This window comes from Homo sapiens, chromosome 3 (genome assembly GCF_000001405.40).
Source record: "Homo sapiens chromosome 3, GRCh38.p14 Primary Assembly".
In the NCBI taxonomy this organism is placed as follows: Eukaryota; Metazoa; Chordata; class Mammalia; order Primates; family Hominidae; genus Homo; species Homo sapiens.
Window position 1 is genome coordinate 71,389,484 of NC_000003.12, and position 24,804 is coordinate 71,414,287.

General features: G+C 40.7%; 1 protein-coding gene across 10 annotated transcripts in view, besides 3 other annotated features; it reads right to left on the reverse strand.

Annotated features, from left to right (window-relative positions):
• The window catches only part of FOXP1 (forkhead box P1), a 629,271-nt gene that overhangs the window by 434,776 nt on the left and 169,691 nt on the right, over nucleotides 1-24,804 (reverse strand). The gene's annotated exons all lie outside the window — the stretch shown is intronic.
• Nucleotides 795-1,089: a silencer, noted in NCBI's record as "tiled region #6361; HepG2 Repressive non-DNase unmatched - State 3:PromF". NCBI's record gives its function as "represses a minimal TATA promoter and a strong SV40 promoter by Sharpr-MPRA in HepG2 cells {active_cell/tissue: HepG2}" and the evidence as "EXISTENCE:reporter gene assay evidence [ECO:0000049][PMID:27701403]".
• Nucleotides 2,770-2,849: an enhancer, noted in NCBI's record as "active region_20060". NCBI's record gives its function as "activates an Ori minimal core promoter by ATAC-STARR-seq in GM12878 lymphoblastoid cells {active_cell/tissue: GM12878}" and the evidence as "EXISTENCE:reporter gene assay evidence [ECO:0000049][PMID:35858748]".
• Nucleotides 8,193-10,175: an enhancer, noted in NCBI's record as "VISTA enhancer hs1116". NCBI's record gives its function as "enhancer in: facial mesenchyme[4/7]" and the evidence as "EXISTENCE:transgenic organism evidence [ECO:0001131][PMID:17130149]".

A 24,804-nucleotide genomic window follows, 5' to 3' on the forward strand; every position in this document is an offset into this window, starting at 1 on the left:
CAAAACAAATATAATAAAATAAATTAAATAAGGTGGAAAAAAACTGAAGTGGTTCAAATGAACAAACTCCTACTTGCTCCTCAAAGAAAACACGAAGAGCTTTCAGAAACATCTCCTCTGAGAGATGCAAGAGAATATGAGTAAATTACAACAATTAAAAACCATTAAAGATAGAATAATTGAGAATACCTGTTTAGGTAACAATGACTTTCTTGAATGCCTCATAACAGAGGTTCTATTTTTAATCACTTTTTTTGCAAAAACTTGCATAATTTAATAATAATTGTGGATTTTTAATTTTTATACATCCACAAGAACATAAAGTGAAAACCATAAATTATACTGACTCCAGCTGTTAAATGTTGGCATTCTGTCTTTAAAAAAAAAAAAAAAAGTTCAAAAATCTGTTTCCTCAAACCAAGGAAATGTGGGAAAAGGCCATCCTGCCAGTGGAAACCTTCAGCAGCAGAAAGCTCAGGCTGCGGTTTCTTGCCGAGGCAGCAAACTCCACTGAAAGAGAAGTCGCTGCCAACTCAAATACTATTTGCTTTCACACCCAAGAACAAACTGTGTGCATGGCGAAGGCATCGAAGGGCTCGGAGCAGCTGGAGAGGACTGCAGAAAGGTAACAGTAGTGTCAGAGCTACTGTAAACTGGTTCTCACTTTTCTATCAGCAAGTTAGCATCCAGGAAAACAACGCAATGCCTTCACCTTGCATCCCAGCAGCCCTAAGTCAGGACCTGCTGTAACTCAAAACCTCCTCTTTCTAAGTCAACAAGCCAAGGGACTTTTCAGAAAAAGAAAAAATCACCCAGACAAAAGAAACACATACTTCAGCAGTGGGATTCTAAGGGCCAAGAGGTTCAGGCTTGAAATGGAGTCATGAGGAATTTCCATATCTCAGTGCGACATGCAACCCACCTTCTCTGTAAGCAGGAAATGCAAAGGAAGTGTTCACTGCAACTTTGTAAACCAAAGGCAGAAAGCTCTGCCAAAGCAAATATCCTTACTGCAAGGCTTCTGCTTAAAAGGTCCTGCAAGTTACAGTTGTGCCTCATGGATGGGCGTCAGTAAGGATGTGTGTGTGTGTGGTGGGGAGGGGGGTTGGGGGGGGCAGTCAAGAATTCTATAGGAAGAGAAAAACAATCCAAGTCTCCAAAAAGCGAAAGGTTTATTCCATGATGACATTCTGTTCCAGTTTCAAGTAAACAAAGGCCAACTTCTTGCAGACATGGCAACTTCTTGCAGACGTGGCCCAAGTTAAAAACGGTTAAATAAGAAAGATTTTAAAAGTTCCTTTGTGCATGCTGCTTTGAAATAAACAGTTCAAATTCTTGTGCAGTGCCGTGTAGTCAGGAAGAGATGAGCCCCCCATCTGAGACAAGCCTCACGTTATCAAACTCTGCCCTCCCCAGGCCTGGCCTGTTGCAAATCCAGAATTAAACACTGTTAATTATTTGCAGGCAAAATCCTTTTCAAAGTAAAAAATCAAATTGTTTGTTCAAAAACTCCTGCTCCATCTAAGTTCCCCCTCCCGCTGAACATCATTACTTCAAAGAGCTCACAAAAATGTCATGGCCTCCAAACATGTATATGAAGGAAATGATGAATCTGTATGAATGGAAGATCTAAGTATTCTCCACTTGTAATAATAACACTCACCTAAAACAAAAATATCACATATTTCCAATTCTAGATTGGACTTTGTCAGGTTTCAATATTAAGAGTCAATTTTATTGACTTCCTCCAGTTTAAATTTAGAAATCTTTTTCTTACTGTCTTAACCACCCATGCCTACTTGCCCCCACTACAAAAAGTTTCATGGTTTAGACATAGGTTGAAAAATCTGCCTAACTAAATAAACAAAGACTGCCTTTCTTTCCAAATAAAAATGAGTTTAAGAATTTGCCTACTGTTCCCCCAAGACACAATCATATAGCAAATTCTCCCACCTCCAAAATGATTGATGTGATGTCTTTCCTTTCTTTCATCATTCCCTACCTTGTCTGGTCGCTGGTGAAAACCAGGAAGCCACAGACACACACTTCGGTCTTTCGCTTGTGCGGGCCTCAATTCTCCAATGCCAGGTTGCTGCCAATGTCCTTGCAGCCAATGGTAAACAGGCCACAAGGTTCAAGTTAACTGCGGAGCGTTACTACACTGAACATCTGGTCATGAATGAACGGATTGCCCACTAACTCTCAGCATTGGGCAGCTGATGAAAAATTCAACATTTTCCTTGTTGGCACAGTTGTTTTGGAGAATTCTCTAGAGCTTCCTGAATTATATTAAGAAAATTTCACTGCAGCAATCTATATCTGTGAGAACAGCTGGTGTTGAAAGGGATCTGCTGCTCTCTCTCTGTGCTGGGGGACCTCATGTTGGATCAGGACACTTTTACTACATTTGTCCTTGAAAACTTAGCCTTCGTTCAGGGGTACAGGGTAAAGCAGGAAAGACAGCTCACGGATGCTGGATTCCACACAGACGAACATCTTAATTCAGAGTGAAAAATCTATTACTCAGTGAAGAAGGCATTAAGATCAAAACAGTTCATTAGAAATAGACCTGTCTCTGAATTTTCTTTAGAAAACATATCTAATCAAAATTATCGTTGGGTTATGATATCAGATTGGTCCTATCAGCATGGCACATTTCCTAAAGATTTTCAGTAGAAAATAATAGTCCTTTATAAAACTCAACTAGATGCAATGTGTCCAAACATTACTTTTTCACCACATAACTGATTTTAAACTCAGCAAAGTGTTTTATTAAACCTAAGGGTGAAACAATTAGAGCAAATCTGATGTAATATGTTACATTATACTCAGCACTGGAAGAGGTCACAGTGACAGAGGTGTCTGAGGCTTAAGAAAAGAAATTCTCTAAAAATATAACAGTCGCGTTTAAAGAAATTAACTTGTTAATGGATATATGTGATATATTACTATTCTTTTTGTTTAAAAAAAAGGAAGTGGTAAACTTAAGTCAAGCTAAATTTAGGCTATTATCTATGCAGCATAAATTTCACTTCTGTGTATAAATGCTAACTTGCATATTTCTCCATGGTAACTAAACTATGATTAAAACAACAGTGAAACCAGCCTTTAAAGCCACCTGTTTAACTAGGAACAACCTAATTTACAAAAATACTTAAACTTTGGAAATTTCATGGGCATCTATATCGTGCTCTTCCCAGTAGAAAGCTCACTTTTCCATGAACATATAATTGCAATGCACTTGGCCTAGGTCGCAATCATTCTTTTTTTAACTAGTGTAATTTTTTTCATGTATTGTTCACGCTAACCTAAGTGGTATTTAAGATTGTAAAGAATAAGACTGTAATAACTCTTTCCAAGAAGAAAGTTATTTTACCGTTTGGAAGGGATTAATTTACCTAGAAAGTATCTTCACATTTTACAAAAAGAACAAATGAAAAAAGTGAGAAAATTCCAAACTGAAATGACTCTTTGAGATGGCAAGCCACATTCAAACTAATTTTTTTATTGAGATAGCCTGATAATTTACTAATGAAGAAATGGGCTATTTTATTGGTGAAATTAAAGAAATAATTATAATATGCCCAAGAATAATAAAAATGTAGGTATAAGCAATATTTTCTTATTTAATTATAAAACATAAAAGTAGGTTTGAATGTGAATCATTTTGAAACCTTAGAATTGGGTTTAGAATTTAAATACTGAAAACCCCATGAAGTTGAAGCATAATCATAATAGGTCAGGTTTGGTGTGAAAATCATGACTCATATTCATGACACATATTCAGAAATGCCTCATACTAAAACTTTATTATAATCAAAAATTGATCCTCAGTTTTTTTTTGTCTCCTGGTCTTTACATGATGTAATGTCTAAGACCACATTTCACACTGTTAAGTAATGATGACTATAGAAGACTCATAATAAAAAAAAAACTCATAAAATGTCACAATTTATAATTTTATGTATACTTGCCTCTCTAATATCATGTACATTTACGCAGTGGATGCTAATTAGATAACAACGGTATTACTATAATGTCTATAAAACCTGCCTTTAAAACCAAATTCCGTTAAAAATAGTCTTTTCAAGCTGACATAGCCCATTTCCAGGGTCATATTTAAAATAATTAGCACCATTGCTAGTAAATGTTCTAATAAAACTTGAAAATGATTTCTAAGCAAAATGCAAAATTCTCTAAACTTAACAAGAAAGTCTTCCAGTAATCTGAGATAATCTTTTGAAAGGGTGTCTGTGAAATCAAAGCAGTTTTAACATTTTAAAGTTCAGAATCTCTAGGGCCACTTACATGGCTCCTGAAAACTACTCTTGGAGAACCTGACCTATGGACTCTCTCATCCCATCTGATTCTTTTTCATTTTTTAAATTTTTTGTAGAGATGGGATCTCACTGTGTTGCCCAGGCTGGTGTTGAACTCCTGGGCTCAAGTGATCCTCCAGCCTCGGCCTCCCAAAGTGTTGGGGTTACAGGCATGAGCCACTGCACTCAGCCCCATATACTTCTTTGACACATACAAATGTCTGCGGAGCAGAGCAAGAGTTTCTGAGAAGCACATGGAAACAAAAGCCAACTATGCCTGCATCAACAATGTCCACTAAAAGAGCCCCAATTTCCAGAAGAGTCACCAGCTCCCAAAGAGCAGAATGTAAATTGTTCATATGCACCAGCCCAACTCCAAGGCAATCAGCAGTTATTTTTAGAAGTCCCGGATTTTTGTTTTCTCAGAACAATGATGAGTCCTCTTTAGAGATACGTTTTTAAAACCAACAGTCAACTCTCCTTTTTAAGCCTCCCCTATTTCAAATCCAATTCAGCTATTGGACAAAAAATCTAGAAGAAAGAATTCCATAGGCAGTGGTCATTTGTTCTTAAATACATCCCAGACCTTAGAAGAAAAGGTCAAACAGGTTATCTGTGAGTGTGAAGCAATGCCTAGGAACCAATGAGGGAAAAAGGTAACTATACCCACCATGAATTTGTCTGCTAGGTTTCTCCCGGTAAGATATAAAGTCTCTTCAATGGATCAAAGATGCATTTTTATAGTTTTAAAAATAGACATTTTAATAGATAAGATGATCAAATTGAAGGGTCATCAATAATAGCAACTTTGTATTTTGTATATGACTTTGCATTTGTCAGGTAGCTGCCATTTCATCATTATACCGACCCTTGTGTCAAAGGTAGTGTCAGTCTTACAGATGGATGACTCTGGAAAAACTAAATGGCTCGTCCCAAAACTGCTGGGATTTGTTTGGGGACTCCAATTCCAGTGCTCCTTTCACTATTATGGCTCTTAACGAAAGAATTGAACTGGAGGCTGGGCGCGGTGGCTAACGCCTGTAATCCCAGCACTTTGGGAGGCCGAGACGGGCAGATCACCTGAGGTCGGGAGTTCGAGACCAGCCTGACCAACATGGAGAAACCTCGTCTCTACTAAAAATACAAAATTAACCGGATGTGGTGGAGCATGCCTGTAATCCCAGCTACTTGGGAGGCTGAGGCAGGAGAATTGCTTGAACCCAGGAGGCAGAGGTTGCGGTGAGCCAAGATCGCGCCACTGCACTCCAGCCTGGGCAACAAGAGTGAAACCCCGTCACAAAAAAAAAAAAAAAAAAAAAAAAATTGAACTGGATAATCCAGACAAAACCATCTACTTCCCCCTAGTTAATATCTGGAGACTGTTTCACTGATTCTATTATTTGGCTCATGACTGAACAGATTCCTAGTTCCCTTTTAGCATTAAAGTAATAGGTAGAAGAATAAAGCTCGGCGTCTTGCGACCCTGGTTTCCAAAGTCTGTAAGATCAGGCCCCAACTAGTTCTGCTGCCTTGAGTGTTTCTGCTCTCCATCTTGTATGCCTTTTTTCTGTTCCTCAGACCCACCCAGTTCATGATACCCCAGGGTCTGAACACTGGTTGTTCCCTAAGTCTGGAATGCTTCTCTTCCAAGCTGCTCCTGGCTGCCTCCTTCTTGCCATTCAGACCTCAGCTCAAAAGTCACCTCCTCTGAGAAGCCTTACCTGGGTACCTCATCTAAACTGGCCCAGGGGCACTCCTTATTTCATCATTCTGTTTTATTTCTCTGCACAGCACTTTCCTCTGATACTGTTCTTTGTTGTTTGTTTAGTATCTGTACCCTACTAGAATACCAGCAACACAACAGCAAGGTTCTTGGCAGTCTTGTTAACAGTTATATTCCCAGTACGTACAACACTGCCTGGCACACACAAAGTCTTCAATAAATAATTGCTAAATGAATGAATGAATCATATCCCACATCATATCGGTCTCCAATAATGTATTCTCCTCTTTATAATGTAGAGTCCTTTGATATGGTCAATGTTGCGCAAATTTCCTGTAATTAATGGGGGGGTTGGTTATGAATGACTTGGCTATATTAAAATATATTATAAATGCTCTGCAGAAAAAAAGACTGGTTTCTTTAATGATATATCGAATAAGAGGCATCTTTGCACCCACCAGGAAACAGAGATGGGTTACAAAAATGCAAAGTTTAGTTACACAATTCCTTTCCATATTAATTAATCATCTAACATAAAAGAGAAGGCTTAAAGAAGAGCAGCTAGAGCCTCATTCAGGAGGAGGGATAGGGCAGAGCTGAGTCAAGTCTTAGAGTTCAGTCTAACTTGAACTCTGCTACCGGACTACACAGAACCTTGAGTGCTGGAACAGTAGAGCATCAAAGCAGGGCAAGAATCCTGAAACTTTTGGAGCTGCCACAGAGAGCAGGAAGCTCAGTAAGTGTCAGGTGTAACCAGGAATGTGGTGCCCGATGATTGCAACCATACCTAGCAGAAATGCAGTGCTCAGCCCTAAGACGTGCACCTGGGACGTTAGTTTAATCAACTCAAGTCTAGGAAGCAGACACACTATTATCATCTCCATTTTGTAAATGAGGAAACTGGGCTTGGAAAGTTTAAGTAACTGACCCAGTTGCAGAGCCAGGATTTGACCCAGGAAGTCTGAGTCAAAGCCAAGCTCTTAACCCACAGGCTTGTCCCGTGGGAACAAGCTTCCTACCAAGCACTAAACAAAGACTCCTAAAGGAGCCATGGTCAGCTAAGATCAGGCCTAAAGCAACCTACCTTCAAGTAACACAAATTCCAGTTCAGACTGACTACATAATTTATGGGGCCCGTGGCATAATGAACACTTGGGACCCCTTGTTCAAAATTTTAAAAAATGTTTAAGAAGACAGCAACAGCAGAGCATTAAACCAAGTGTGGGTCCCTTCTAAGCGTCAGGTCTTGTGAGATTGGGCATGTCTCACACCCACGAATACAGCCCTGATTCTAAGTGTTTTATTTCTCCGAAACTTTACTCCCTGTACTTCAACTGTATTCATCTCCGTATAAGGTTCAATGTATGAGTCATAAGGAACATATATATGTGTGTATATATATATATATACACATATATATATGTGTATATATATATATGTGTGTATATATATATATGTGTATATATATACACATATATATGTGTATATATATATATATACATATATATGTGTATATATATATACACATATATATGTGTATATATATATACATATATATGTGTATATATATATATACATATATATATATGTGTATATATACACATTTAAATGGAACCAGCAGAGTCTAGGCAGGGTTGGAAGCACGTGTACCTTTCCCACTTTATATTTTAAATTGTCTAAGCCATCAAGTGGCAGTCCCTGGAATTGCATGAAGAGAGCTTAGGAGGCAAAAACCCATTCGGAAGGAACGAGATCTAACTGGATTCCAAAGTTCCAAACTTTAAGAAAGTTGCAAAAGAGCCATCTGAACTGCTCCACAGATTATGTGGATGAGCATTTATAATCTGGGAACGTTTTATCTGGATGGATTTTGCTAGTTTTTCCAAGTGATATCCTGAATGTAGGTATTGCTGCCTGCGGTTCTTTGGATTGTTCAACAAATACTTTCCAAATGTACATTATGTGCCAGGCAATGCGACGGGCCTTGGGGCCAGTTTTTGCCTCTGTGGAACTTACAGACTGAACACTGGGAAATAAATGTTAAACAAATGATTTTACAAATAGACATATAATTACAATGTATGGTCAAGTCTACAAGAGCTATCAAGTCTGCAGTACTATGGGAGAAAACAATAGGAGGACCCCATATTTTCAGCTGAGAGGACAAGGAAGGAAAACCCCACCAAAGCTCTCACTGATTTCACAGAGTTAATCTAGAAACCTTTGAAGTCTTCAACTTATACCATTTAGAATAATTTCTCCATCTACACTGGAAAAGGCAGGAAAGTTCCTATGTCTAGTATAATTCCAGGTCCCAAGCTGTACAGACAGACCTAATCCTACAGTTTAACTGTTCTCCGTATAACATTTTACAGGGATGCAAGGGAAGGAGGGAGAAGGTAGAGACAGGGAAAGAAGGAAGAAGCAGAGAGAGTGGGGAAAGAGAGAGAAGGGGAGAGGAAGGAAGGAAAACCAGAAAGATCACTACCTTCTGTCCACAGAATAGCTTTTAAGATACAACCATTTTCTTTTTTTATCCTCCTCCAAAAGCTTGAAAACACTCTTCGTACCACTCATAGCTTCTAACACTCCAATGTCTTAACATTATTTTAACAGAGCTTTGTGTGTGCAAATAATGCTAAAACCAGAAATTGTGCCTCTTTCCTTAGAAGCATCTATCTAATCTGATTGTATATATGTCAAGTCGATGTGTGCAATATGTATGTCAACAGTGCTTAAGTAATATCTTGTCTCCACTTGCTTCTGATTTCTTTGAATTCTCATATTAACCACTCTCATTTTTTTAAAACAGTGCTGGGATTTTCCCTCTTTGAAACTTGACAGAAACATAAGATATTTCAGTTCTTGCTATGAAGCACTAAGCACGCTGAAAACATCGCCAGCCCTTTAGTCTCATTAGCTTCCTTTAAACACCTACTTTGCTGGTATAAGCTAATGTGAACCCTTTTCACCCTGTTTAAATTCCAACATAAAATTTGTACACAACAATAAAACATGTGGCTCATTTGTCATGCTTCCAGAAGCAACTATGTCACTCACACCAAGAACCACGGGCTGGGGGTGCAGAGTGATTTTGCTCCCATTTCACATCACTCAATTGTGCCTTCTGTAGAAAAGCTTTTAACAACCACATCTGGCCTTTAATAAATCACTGCACTTTGTCTTCCTGCCAAAACTCCTCCTTTATCTAACTTACATCTTCATGATGAGATAGGAAATCATGCATTATGGTGGTGACAAACAATTGTAATTATGTCATTAGTAGCCATTTAGTCTACAAAGGTGCTCAAAAAGGAAATACAATGCAAAATAAGATATATAGGATAATACATTGATCACAGTTCTAATCCGCTTTTACTTCATGAGTGTAAAAAGCTGGCATAATTCTTGGGCACAGCAGGCAGTAATGGCACACCACTTTATGAACTATACAGCTATTTTATTCCCCTATCTACTTAAAAATAAAAAAGCATTTAATAGCTTGATTTAGACATAAAAGTTATTTGTGATGCCTCGCTGATTATAATATTTATTTTTCAACTGTTCGTAGAAGTGACTTTCTGTGTTAGGAAAGAAACTTGAATTATTTGGGTTTATGAAATTTAACAACCATACGTGTGTCTATGTGTGTACATACACATATGTGTATATGTGTAGATATACAGGTATGTACATAGGTTTAGGTGTATACATATGTATGTGTGTATATACACACAAAACACACTCAGACACATCTCTAAAGGAGTCAAACAACTTCACAGTATGATACATTCTCTAAAGCTCCCAAGTCATGAAGAAACAAAACTACAAACCAGAAATTTAAGAAAAGGTGACTACACTTAAGGAAAGTATAAAATACCCTTTATTCCACCATCTCCCACCATACATTTTAGAAACAAGAAATTCAAGCAAGTTTCAAAATAAGCAGCTATTTGGGTATACCTGAAGTTCTAAAATCCTATGCATTTCACTAAAGTCGATAAAAATCAACTCCCAGATTGCACACAGAACATAGTTCCAACATTCACCCAGACGGAAGCACTACTGACAACCAGGGCAGGGAAAGGGGGTTTGCAACCTTTGATAACCTACAACCTTCTGAGATGGAGCATGATGAAATTTCCTCTTACCACATCTCAACCTTTGAAAGGCATACACCTGAAATATGTAAGTAAAATGAATCCAAAAGCAGTGTGGTCAAACATTAGCAGGGGCAATTTTATGTATAACTACAGTCAGCCACTTCACTCTCTGCACCTCTTACAAACCTTCATTTTACTGGGAAATCTTTCCATGAAACTCTACAAATGGCTCTACGAATCATTTAAAAATTTCTCCAGTTGTTAATTTGAAAACGATGTAGCAAATGCCTAGTATGTTCCACATCAATCTGTGAATCCCAAGATAATTAAAATGTAAACCCAGAGACAAAAAATTGAAACTCAAAACACCAATGCCAAATCTAATTAATGCAGTGTTAATAATTATGACCATTATTTCCAGATACATAAATTTTTTCATGTGACAAACTTTCATTTTTTACCTCGCACTTGGCAGTGTATGTTTTCCTGGGAGGGTTTGGGGCTGAACCCATTAAAAAAAAATTTTGGCAAGTAGGTAAAAAATGTTTATGTCACCATAATATTGACGTAAATCTTATTGATATCATTACCTGGCTGATTCAACCCAGTGCTGGCATGAATGCAATGAAACCAATTATTTCAAATTTTTCATGGACTTAATCTGATAATCAGGTAGTTAGTGTATTGGGTGTTTCTAAGGCATACACCTTCTCTGTTTTATTAATTTATGTATGATTTTTTTTTTTGAGACAGAGTCTCGTTCTGTTGCCCAGGCTGGAGTGCAGTGGTGCAATCTCGGCTCACTGCAACCTCCAAATTCCTGGGTTCAATCGATTCTCGTGCCTCAGCCTCCTGAGTAGCTGGGATTACAGGCACGAGCCACCATGCCTGGCTAATTTTTGTATGTTTAGTAGAGATGGTGTTTCACCATGTTGGCCAGGCTGGTCTTGCAATCCTGGCCTCAAGTGGTCCACCCACCTCGGCCTCCCAAAGTTCTGGGATCAATGCCTGAGCCACCACGGCCAGCCAATTTATGTGTAATTAATGCTTTGTGTGGACTTTCATCTGAATACAGAACCTCACATTTTCAAAAGATGCTTGGGAAGTAAAAGAAGCTGAATTTTTTCCCCATCATTTTTGTTTTTAAAAGAGAACAATCTCCCAGATCAATGACCTACATTGTGTTAGATGTAGAACCCCCCTGCAATTTTTTTGAGGAAGAATTAGAAAATGACTATTTCAGACAAAGAAAGTAATACCCCAATAATAAACAGAGGCTTCAGGAGAACACATAAGGAGGAGGGAAGTCTACGTCTCATAAAAACAGAAGGATCTTCAGTCAAATTTACCTACATGCTGTCAGTTTGCTTTTCTCTTCATCAGTCTGTCTCTTGTCTAAGACGAGTCCTTCCGTACGGGAGTCTCCTCCACCCCCACTCAAAAAACTTTGACATTTAAAATTTTATTTTTTCTAAGAAAAGCTTATCTGAAAACTCACATGCTTCTCTAGTTACATATGAAAGAAACTGTACTTACATCAACATTATCTTTATTTATCAACTCCCCTGCACATTGCCCCCTGGGTACCAACAGTTCAAAAGTTCAAAAAGGGTTTTGAAAATAAACCAAGATAGAAAACAGGCACCAACTCCTATTTGGAACTTACATTCTCATGCCTTCTAGCATTCTCTGGATGACGGATCAAGAGGAATGATAAAAGAGAGAGAGAGAGGCAGCTGCCAGGGGAGGGTATCAATTGGTGTGGATGGGGCATTTCTCACACCGACTGAAAAATTCGTGTTGTCCCCAGAAGCTGTCAGGCTAAGCAAGAGACAGATCTACATATCACAATTCAGGATGAGAGGCAGCAGCTGAAAGCCTCATTCACTCAGAAATCCTTCCTCTCTTTTATTCTTACATTTTCCTTGTTTTTAATGCTATTTTTATTTGGCTTCCAACATTCCTCTCTGGGTTTCTGTTAGCCTCTTAAAAGGGATGCGGGAGAGAGCACATGAACAGGTCTGTATGCAAGACAACCTTTGCTGGGCATCTGGAACTGTCTCTGCTCTAGTGCTGCACTAATTGGTTGATACCTTCCTTCGCTAAATCTTGTTACAACCTGCAACTAAAGACGAGGCTCTCCCCATTCAATCAATGAAGCGGGATATCTCTCTTCAAACAGACAAAGTGAATGGACACAACACAAATTTGAATCTGTCTGTTACAAGACACCGGGGCCCAGGCAGCCGTTACTTCCTCCCTGGAGCACCAATTCAGTCCAGCTGGGAAACAGTTATTCTGTACGTGGAGTTATCCCTCACCCCTATCCCCACCCCTATCCTACTCCTCACCAGGCTATAAACGCCATGAGAGACGGAATGGCACACAAACATCTTCCTCACTGGAGTTGTGGCAGGCTCTGAACTGGGGATCAAGAAACCTTAGTGAGTGCGGTTTATTGTCCTAATTCTACTTCCAGGTATTTACTCTAAAGAAGTTCTCATGCATGCCAAAGATGTTTATTGCTTTAAAAATAAAATCACAGGCCGGGCGCGGTGGCTCACACCCACAAACCCAGCACTTTGGGAGGCTGAGGCAGGTGGATCACTTGAGCACAGAAGTTTGAGACCAGCCTGGGCAACATGGCAAAACCCCATCTCTACTAAAGATACAAAAATTAGCCAGCCATGGTGGTGCATGCCTGTAGTCCCAGCTACTTGGGGGGCTGAAGTGGGAGGATCGCTTGAGCCTGGAAGGTTGAGACTGCAGTAAACCATGTTTGCGCCACTGCACTCCAGCCTGGGCGAAAAAATGAGACCCTGTCTCAATCAATCAAATCATAAATGTCTGTTATCTGTGGAATGAATAAGCACAATTCATTGACAAATGACAGAATACTTTGTACATTTCTAGCAGGGTAAGTGAGATCTATACATGTCAACATGATACCTTTTTCAAAATCGTGCCTGAATAAATTCAGCATGAAGTAGTTAGGATACAATATAGTTTGATACTAAACTTGTAAACTAAATACACACTCTCAGAAAAGGCTACCTGTGTACATAAGTGTATATAAATGGAATGGAACGGGTACCCCAAGCTCCTGATGGAATGTGCTGCTGAGAAGTGGGAAGGGGAAAAGTTATAAGAGATCTTAGGTGTTGCTGAAATGTTTTATTTGTTTTAAATATATCTAAAAGCAAATAGGACAAGCTGCTAAGAGGGGTTCCTTCAGGGTGAACAGGATGCAGATGACTGCTAACCCTGTATATTCCTCTAACTGGTATATGTCTCAGGCTCTCCACCCAATCCACTCCCTGCCAAGTGAATTCTGAAGATGGTTTGAAAAATCCCTCAATCAACTAGGTTGTCTTTTTACACATATTTAGCCAAGCACCCTCTTCGTCAGATAAGAGATTGTATAAGCAAAACCAAATTAGTTTCTCAAAAGAGGAAGTTTACTTTTTTGTTTTGTTTTTTCTTTCTGGTAGAAATATCATAACCCCAATTACTGAGTGATCAGGAACAGTGAAGCTGGATCTTCTCCAAGTCACAAAATCCTCATGTGTTCATGTGTGGCGTGTACATGTCTCTTCCAGTCTGATGTAGTGAAGAACACAAACTGTTCTTCAAAATTCCAGCTGGGGCTAGGAGTATGGAACCCTGATTTAACAAAAAGCTCGCCTGGATCTCTGAGCTGGAGATGGTGTTTTCAAAAAATGATGTGGCTCATCACTGAAAGTTTTCAGGGTGATGGCTCATAAATGGTGAAGAAAAAAGGCAACAGAAAAACAAGGGAACTGTTTCAAGATTTGGACTGGGATTAAAGGAGGATTACTGATGTGAGAGGTGTGTGAGTGTGTGTGCGCGTGCATGCACGCGTGCCTCATGTTTATAGGAAAGAGTTTATTCTCTCTCTGTTAAGAATAAAGGAGCTGGCTTAGGCACGGTGGCTCATGCCTGTGATCCCAATACTTTGGGAGGCCAAGGTGGGTGGATCACTTGCACCTAGGAATTCAAGACCAGCCTGGGCAACATGGCGAAACCCCATCTCCATTAAAAATACAAAAAAAATAGCCCAATGTGGTGGCAGGCACCTGTAGTCCCAGCTACTTGGGAGGCTGAGGTGGCAAGATTGTTTGGGCCCAAGAGGTGGAGGTTGTAGTGAGCCAAGATCGCACCACTGCACTCCAGCCTGTGCAACAGAGCAAGACACTGCCTCAAAAACAGCAACAACAACAAAAAAGTAAAGGATCCGAGAAATGATGGAATTCCAAGTATGATAAAACTGCCCATCAAAATAGATGGCATGTGAAGAAAAGAATGTAAAATTCCATTTTATTTGCTTTCAATAATATTAACATGAATGATAACAAAAGATGTCTTTCTAAAACAAAGAAGAGATATGGCGATGGCCTACAGATAATTACCTTAGAGGAGGGGATGGGCAATGGAGATCCCCATGTATTGGGGTTTTTTTCTTTTCTTTTTCTTTTTTTTTTTTTTTTTTTTTTTTGAGATGGAGTTTCGCTCTTGTTGCCCAGGCTGGAGTCCAGTGGCGTGATCTTGGCTCACCGCAACCTCCGCCTCCCAGGTTCAAGTGATTCTCCTGCCTCAGCCTCCCGAGTAGCTGGGATTATAGACATGCACCACCATGCCTGGCTAATTTTGTATTTTTAGTAGAGACAGGGTTTCTCCATGTTGGCCAGGCTGGTCTCGAACTCCCCACCTCAGTTGATCCGCCCACCTCAGTCTCCCAAAGTGCTGGGATTACAGGCATGAGCCACCAGGCCGGCCTGTATTGGGTTATTTCTTTTGGAAACAAGACTTTATTGTTACTTTTGATATTGTTAATTTGTTTCCCAAAAATCCCAGAGCCAAAGCACAAGTTTTCTTAGTGACACCTGACCAAGTTTCTAAAAATGTTGTACAAAGGCCATTAAGAAGAAAAAAAAAAACCCATAATTGTTGACTTTAAATATGCAGGCAAAAGTCACAGTAAATAACAATAATTTGCTTGGAATATTGTTCCATACAGCATTTCACAGAAATCCAGCATACAATTTACAAGAAAGTGCAGGCAAATTAATTGTATACTTTCACCTTTTCTTCTCAATTCACATATGAGAAGAATACCATTTTACCCCACACAGAGAAGCCCCATAGGCCTCACAAGGTTTTGAAAAGAGACTAATCAATAGTATCAACTGAACCTGAGATTAGACTAAACGGCAGACAGAGGCAAGCAGCCTATAACTATTAAGAATCCTCATTCCCATGGCTTTCAACCTCCTTTTCCCTGATGGCAGGCAACAGGGCAATATGGTTTATCGTGCAGAGACTGAATCCGGTACAAAATGCCACCCCCAGCCCAAGGACTGACACTGCTAATGGTTTGTGAAATACCTCCAAAGGCACTGCACCAGCACGCAGCCACCAACTTCCAAATTTCCACACATCTGCCTTGCCAGCCTTTACGTGGAGGTCTCCCAAAGACAAGGGGCAAGGATGCATGGCCCCAAACTCACAGTGAGCCTTGGGTTCAAGTCCAGGCTCCCATGTTTAGTCTCTGTGCAACTATGGAAGAGTGGTTGGCCTTTTCTGATGCCTGCCATCCTCGCCTATGGAAAGGGTATAGTAACAGCAGCTACCTCAGAAGGCAGGTGTGAATGTAAGGTGTATAAGTTAGCCAGACATCAGGGGAATCTATGTTCTGTGCATCCAAATCATCACCTTACGAGTAAAAACAGTAGCTGCCATTTATTGAGCAATGACCATGTGAGACACACAAAAGCTCTTTCACATTTCTGGACTGCACCACCCTAGGTAGAAGTTCACAGTATTACCAGTTTGCAGATGGAAAAACTGAAGCTAAGAGAATAATCCACCCAGACAGACAGCCAGGAGGAGGCAGATGTTGGCTAGGAGGCCAGGTAGATCTGATTCCACAGATTTAGGCCCTAAACCAGAGTTCCACGTTCCCAGCTGCACCTCAGAATCACTTGGGAAGGTTATAAAAGGCCAATGTCCAGGTCAACCTCCAGGCCAATTAAATTGGAATGTCTAAGATCGAGGGTCCAGGCAACAGTATTTATTTATTTATTTATTTATTTTTTTGAGATGGAGTTTCACTCTTGTCACCCAGGCTGGAGTGCAGTGGCTCAATCTCGGCTCATCACAACCTCTGCCTCCCGGGTTCAAGCAATTCTCTTGCCTCAGCCTCCCAAGTAGCTGGGATTACAGGTGCCCGCCCCAACGCCCGGCTAATTTTTTATATTTTTAGTAGAGACAGGGTTTCACCATGTTGGGCAGGGTGGTCTCGAACTCCTGACCTCAGGTAATCCACCTGCCTCGGCCTCCCAAAGTGCTGGGATTACAGGTGTGAGCCACCACGCCCAGCCAGGCAGCAGTACTTTTTAAAGCTTTTCACTCCAACATGCAGCCTTGTTGGAGAACAACTGTTCCAGTCACCGTACCATACCAGGCACGTGGTCCTTCCCCGATGAATTAGTTTCATTTTGCTGTGTAACAAATTCCTGCAAACTTAAGGGCTTAAAACAACACACATTTCTTATCTTACAGTTCTGGAGATCAGAAGTCTCAGATGGGCCCCAACGGGCTGAAATCAAGGACTGTGTTCCTTCCAGTGGAGAATCTGCTTCCTCACTATTTCCAGCTTCTTGGAGCTGCTCACATCTCTTAGCCTGTGGCCTCTTCCCGAATTATTTTCGTTATTTTTTTCTTTTGTTTTTAATTGACACATAATAACTGTATGTGTATATATATATATATATATGGTACAGTATGATTTTTTGACACATGCGTATCTTGTGTGAAAATCAAATCAGGGTATTCCATTTCCAAAGTCAGCAACATTGAGCCAAGTCCTTCTCGTGATGCTATCTCTCAGGCTCTCTCTCTTTAGCAGCCTTCTTCTACTTTTAAGGACACTGGTGATTCCACTGGGTTCGCCGAGATACTCCAAGATAACCTCCCCTTCTCAAGGGGGCAGGTGATCAACAACCTTAATTGCATTTGCAACCTTAATTCTCCCTTGCCATGTAACATACCATATTCCCAGATCCAAGGGATTAGGATGTAGAGCTCTTTGGGTTGTGTTATTCTGCCTTCCACACCTGACAATTCTGCCTCCAGATCAGGATCGCAGGCAAAAATGACACATTCTGACAATAACGTGAAAGTGGGTCTCAGTATACAAGCCTCCTGCTTGCTTTACAGTTTTATGGTGAGTATTTTACCTGCCCCTGCAACTTAGGTACCAAGCACAGTGCTTGGAGCACACCAGGGGCTCAACAGATGCTTATGGAGGGAAAGAAAGAAAGGATCTTGCATTTCTCCCGCCACAACAGTTTATATCAGATATGCTATCATGTTCAATAAGGAAAGAGATAACCCGGGCTGTTTCTAATTGGATAGTCACAGGAGAAATTTCTGCTTGATTCTAAATACAGCAACTCCACTCTGTTTCTTGCATTGGGAACGGCACGCCACCCATTCTCCCCAGCACACAGAAGCCTGCATCTAATTTTACAAGAGCTTGAAAGTAATATGTCCTCTAACTTGAATTTTCTTTGCCAGTGGCCACCACAAAAACAAATGACTTTCAGTAGTGTATGTTTCACTGGGTTTGTGTATTGGGTTGTTTTTTGGAGGCTGGGGTGGGGGGTGGCGGGAACACACATTTTAAAAATCATGCTTCTAATCCTTAAAAAGACTAAAATAGTTTCATCCTTTCATAACCTGTCATCACGCATGTTTTTCTAAAATTAAACACATATGGCTCAAGCCAGAGTTACATTATGCACCATATTATGTAATTATCTTTTCAATTTATTACTCCTCAAAATAGAAAAAGATTAGCCCATGTTTCTTAAGTCTGAGTAAACATATGGCCTGAGGATTGTAAATGACATCCTATCTTTAAAAGAAGTTCCAAGACTAAACAACATACAATACTCCCTTCGGAAAGGCCATATGTGGTATCAGGGTTGTGAGATACAGAAGAACTGTGCGTGTGTGTGTGTGTGTGTATACATCTTTTTGCTTTCTGGCCATGTCTTTGATGCCGTGAAATATTCCTGCTGGCGGATCATAAACAGCACAAAAATAGGGACCAAAAAAAAAAAATCTCCATTTCAGCATTTCCCATTAGCCTAGTGCACTTGGGTCCTGTTTAATCCATAAGGAAAAGGTTCCCAGTCATCTGGGTGTTCGTACAAGAATTATCTGTCGCTCTACAATTCAGGGGCTTTGTGCCCGCTTCCCCAGCAGCCTGTGTACGTCCCATTCTTCATGTTCCCTGGTGATTTAAGACCTCCTTTGAGACCCTGTGCTTGATCACTGTCCTTTTCTTCCTCGTCAGGAAAGAGAGCAGTCAAGCAGGGATCCTCATCCCTGCCAACGACTCCCTTCCCTACAACTACATTAAAGTTATTCCGGAGGCTCCCAGCAGTGTGTGGCTTAGTTAAGGGTCTGACAACGTCCCTATTATCAGAACCTTTCTTCAGGGGGGTTTGCAACTCGAAGACTTTTAATTTGCAACAGGCGGAAATTTTTGCATAGGGCTGCCAAGCATAAAGGAAATATTTCAGAGACCATTCAAACTGAAATCAGTTTCATTGTTTATTCTGTGTTGAGGGATATCAGAAATGAAATGCTGTAAGTGGGTTTCTGATGCCTTTATGCTCCCCTTAACTAGAAAGGATGGTTTTGAAAAATAATTTTAAAGAAAGCCAAGCAAGTTGAAAACCAGCTAATCAGGCTCGCACACAGCCGTTACCATGCGCACATTCACGAGGTTTTTAAATATACATTGTGCCATGAATGTCCAGCAGGAATTTGTGGATTTCAGAAGACTTTTCTTCAAGAAAATATCATTCCCAATGGGCCGATACCAACAATTTGCAATGGTACAGCCAAGCAAATTTTAGGAACAGAGCATCTGATCACATTTTATTGACTAAAGCGGAAGCATTTAGATGAGATAGTAAAACAGTTGGTGGATGTTCTGCTCTGCCATGATGGAAGACTTTCTCTTTTTCACAGCATAAAGGCAATCCTTTTCATTTGCTCTAAATGGGTAAGTAGAGGCAAGGGGCAGCAGACACCCTGTCATAACCATTCCACAGTGCAGCATAAAGATCCCGGTTTCTAATTACTAGGATGAGACTACAGTCCACTAAAAATAAACCACTAAATTGGCTAGAAAAAGATGTATCTTAGAGGCAGAATCGATGAACAAATCATTTGGGCTACATCCTATGTTTACTGAATCTTTGGAACCAGAAATGCCACGTTTAGCTTATTTAGCACCTCATTATTTAATGCAGATCAATGCTGACATTCCCCCAGAGAAATGTATAATAGTCCAATCAGGAAGGAATATGAAGTGCAGACTAACGTGCACAGCAGGTTTTTTCCTTTATGAGCAGGCTCTCACTGCAGGGCCTTTGCACTTGCTGTTCTCATTCAGGAATGGTCTTCCCTCAAATATTCTCATGGCCCCCTCAGGTCTCACTATCTTTTTCTTTCTTAATGTTCCTAAGTAAAAACAGCACATTCCTCACCCACAGTCTCCATTTCTTTATCCTGATTTATTTCCTCCATACCACTTACCACCAAGAGAAACATTATATAGTGTTTGATTTGTTTCCCCATCTAGGATAAAAGTGCCATGAGATCAGGGAGTAGTTTTGGCCACTGCTGCATACTAATAATCTGTGAACTAGTACCTGGAATGTAACCAGCACTGAGATATTTACTGAGTAAAGAAATAAACAGGAGAATGAATGAATGAATATGCTAATACAACCACCTCTGTATCCTCTTTGGTAGGCAGGAGGCAAGAAGCAGGCTAATCTGTCTATGGAGACACAACTGCACTAGGGCTCACCTATCTTTTCGGAATGAAGAATGGCTTGAATCTAAGTTATTTACTTTGGAAAAAAAAAAAAGAGATCTCAGGCTATTCTGACATTAACAGTGAGAAAATTTAAAACAAAAAACCTGGAAGTAAAAGTAACATAGCCCAGCAGTTAGGGGTTTTAACTCTGGGGTTAAACTGCCTGGGTTCAAGTCTCAGTTCCTCTCCTTAAAAACAGTGTGCAGTAATCCCAGCACTTTGGGAGGCTGAGGCAGGCGAATCACTTGAGCCCAGGAGTTTGAGACCAGCCTGGGCAACATGGCAAAACCTTGTCTCTGCTAAAAATACAAAAAATTAGCCAGGTGTGGTAGCATGTGCCTGTAGTCTCAGCTACCTGGAAGGGTGAGACGGGAGGATAACCTGAGACCCAGAGGTCAAGGGTGCGGTGAGCTGTGATCACACCACTGCACTCCAGCCTGAACAACAGCATGAGACCCTGTCTCAAAACCAACAACAACAGCAACAACAAAACAACAAAAAAACAGTGTGGCTTGGCCAGTTATTTTACCTCTCTCAGTGTCAGCTCCCTCACCTGTAAAATATGGCCAAGAACAGGACTTAACCACTCAGAGTTTTCAGGAGGATGCAATAAGGGACTTCAAATAAGCACAGTGCCTGGTATAAGCTAATTGTCACAAAATTGTACCTACGAGTTATTTTCCTTTTCAAAAAAGCAAGTATCTACCAGACTGAAGCTTCTGAGACACAGAATCAGAGATCTTTTGATATTTTTTACTGAATCAACTGCCCACAATTTTTTTTAAGTTAAAAAGTCTGTTTCCTTATTGGAGCTAGTTAGTTGCAACATTTACAAATTTCAGGTGGATTATTATCTTTGTTTCCAACTTTTTTCTATTCCAAGAAATTATGGTATGCTTCCAGTTGTGGCTTATCCTTCCTGACGTAATTTTACTTACTCACAAGAGGCACAACCTCCTTCATTCACTATAAGCTGTGTCCTTATGATTATGCAGTCAAAAAGGCATCCATGGGTTTTTTAAATTGTCCACACACATTGTATCAATGTTTCATGTGTCCTCCCAAAGGAATTATGAAACAAATGTCAAGCCCTGCTTTAATACATTTTTTTAAAATTTCCCCAAACACTGATTTTACGTTTCTGATCTCTTAGAGGGATGTATCATGGAAGAATCAGGACTTCAAGTGGAATAGGCTTTGTTCCATGATACCTTACCTTTTCAAAGTTGAAAGACACATCATATTTCTGTCCTTTGCATAAAAAAGCAATAAATGTCTTTTTCCCAGAACAAACATTGTTCTATGGCTTTTCTTAAGAATGGCTGGTATTTGTCTATTTCCTCGCCTACTGCTCATGTTAGAAGCTGACTAGAGGTATGCCTTATCACGCGTGGCTTCATATGTGTAGCAGACGAGACAAACAGGCAAGCTGTTTACTCCCAGAGATGTTGGTTATTAGGGCTTTCTTTAGGAACTCCAATGTTAGTCACATGCAAAGATGTAATTGAATTAATCCACTCTCTACAGAGCACAACAGGATATAAAATAACTTTTAAATTCCCATATATGAAATATACACGCTTATTACCCTTTGACATCACACAATATATAGGACGTCTACAAATTTGTAACCCCTAGCTCCATTCGCTTCTTTCTTATGCATCTGCTCCAGTTCCCCCTCCAGAGTGGACAAACTTGTTGTGGACTTAAACCAGAGGCTGAATGGGCGTGTGTGTGTGTGTGTGTGTGTGTGTGTGTGTGTGTGTGTATGTGTGTGTGTGAGTGACGGAGTCTTGCTCTGTCACCCAGGCTGGAGTGCAGTGGCGCGATATGGGCTCACTGCAAGCTCCGCCTCCCGGGTTCAAGCTATTCTCCTGCCTCAACCTTCCAAGTAGCTGGGACTACACACACACAGGCATCCGCCACCATGCCCGGCTAATTTTTTCTATTTTTAGTAGAGACAGGGTTTCACCGTGTTAGCCAGGATGGTCTCGATCTCCTGACCTCGTGATCCACCCGCCCTGGCCTCCCAAAGTGCTAGGATTACAGGCATGAGCCACTGCGCCCGGCTGAATGGTCTTCATACCACATCTTCTGATCACCTGATGCTGGCAGGTGGCAGGCAAAGCCTCTCGTAGAAAAGGACCCATCAAGAGCGGTCTCAGTTAGTCTGCTCCAGTGTGGCAGTGCAAACAAGCACCACTGGCTTTTGAATGAGGGAAACCTCAGTTCCAATATTGCCTCTGTCACTTAAAGCTCTGATCCTGGGCAAGTCACCTCATCTCCATACACCTCCATTTCTTCATCAATCATCTGGAGTAGGGGAAGCGGGCATCCCATTACCCATCCACCGACTGAGACGTGGATATGTCAAATGAGATAACTTACATTACAAATCCCAACACTGTGACTAAAAGTAAAGCCTAAAAGTCTCAAAAATGATGAAGAATGTTGTTATTACTATTAAAAGCGCAAGTGCTTCTAAACAGAAGAGTCACTGTGTCTTGCCCTACAGCACCTGTCTCTCCCTGCAGTCCTTGAAATGACCTCTGGACAAATCATTCCTTTTCCTGTCTGGCAATCTATTCAAAATCCTTGGGACCCTTAAGAGGGACAGGTCGCATGGTGTAGGGGATCTAGAGACACCTAGACTTGCTCCTGGCACCTGGGCGCCTTTGGGCAAGTTATTTAATGTGTCTTGGTCTCAGATGCTTTGCCTGGAACTCCATGAGGGCTCAAAGTTACTATCTCCCAAACTACCTTCTGCAAAGACATAATGGGGTTTATAGGGTGGGGTGAAGGGCAGGTTTCTAGGACTGAAGTATTAGTCATGTTGAGGGGCATGATCTCATCGACTGGGCCCCCAACGCTGCTTCTCCCTTGATCTCCATGTTATGACTCTGTTAAGGAGGGAAAAACATCACAGTATTCTGGCCAAAGTGGGCCAGACTAGGGACTAAAACATAAAGCCAAAGAAAATCACAAATGGGGCATAAGAACGCCCAACTACCCTTTGAAGAAAATGTTACCCAAGAGGGATGCACCATTCTGAACAACTCAACATGATGCAACCAAACCTTGTCCTTGGGTAAGTAGAAATAAAAGATATAGAAAGAAAAATGGGTCCTTAACACAGGTTGTAGTCCCAAGAAACACTGGGCTCACCCTTCACATCTTGTGAACTCCACCACTGACTTACCCCCACCTCTCCTCTACCTCCTCCCTGGGAACCCAGGCACCAATAAAACAACTCGTAATGCATATATTTTTTTAAAAAATTGACAAGGGAGAATAAACACATTTGGGGGTGAATATGTTTGTCTAATTAAAAATATTTTCCTGCTTAATATAGGCTAACCGGCTGGAGAATTAATGTGCCGCCTGTGCACATATGCAGTAAGAGTTTAAAAAAAGGAGGAATTTCAGTAGGTGCTTTGTCTTCTGATGTACAGGAATGACTGCCCAAATTCATACACAGGGCTTCGTCTTTGAAAAACACACAAAGGTGGAGGAGGCAACAAACAAACCAAAAACCGACAAACAGCCAACCGGCTATTCAGCTAAAACACACACACACACGCACCCCCAAACAGCCACACACATAACCCCCAAATAGACACACACATCTCAAATAGACACACACACACCACCCCCCCAAATAGACACACACACACCCCCCCAAATAGACACACACACATCCCCCAAATAGACACACACACACACACACACACACACACACACCCAAAACAGCCAACCAGTATGGAACTGGCTAAATAAATGACACTTCATCCATATGACACAATGCTGCGCTGCCATTACAAAGAATGATACATACCTACATTAATGATAGAGCAGAATGGCACACACACACAGACATGCCCACACACACATATACACACATACTGTACTTTTACTACTTGTTTAATTTCTGTCTTTTTGTCCGTCACTAAACCTCCCCCCACCCTGCAAAATTTTATTATAAAAATGTTCAAACATCCAGACAAGTTGAAAAGACAACATATTTAACACCCATATACCTGCCTCTTAGATGTTGCCAATTAACATTTTACTTTACTTGCTTTAGCCTATCTTTGTTCATCTATTTTGGTTTTTGACACAGATCACAGTAAGTTCCATGATATATTTTCAAGGAAAAAGACAAACTACCAAACAGCATGTACGGTATGACCTCATTTTGAAAATATATATACATGGGTGTGTGTGCTTACATACCTAGAAAAAAACAATGGAAGGAAATACCACACAATGTTACAGTAACATTTTATATATCTTTTCCCCTCGTTACCTGTAGGCACTTTTTTCTTTTATCTCTCATTTAAGCCATCAACATTTATTCCTTGTGAAATAAATAGACATGGAATTACGAGAAGGAGCCAAGGATGAGGGGAGGAATGTGAAGCAGGCAGGAAGGATGTAGGGCAGAAAGGAAAGATTCAAAGCCATCCATCCATCCCTTCCTAGGCTGCGGAGGCTCATGCTAAAGCCACCCACGGGTTGCTGGCCACCCAAGGCAAAGAAAAGCCACCGAGAAGCACCCCAACTCTCGGTCTTGCCGGCCATCCAAATTGTTTTAGTATCAGGTTCACGATTTTTCAGATGCAGTTTTAAAACAATTTCCAACCACCTCCCTGAGATTGTCTGCGGAACGTGATGGGGATTTCCTGTTTCCAGGCTCTGCTTTTTGGCCAGCCGTCATAAAGAATCCACCGCATCAGG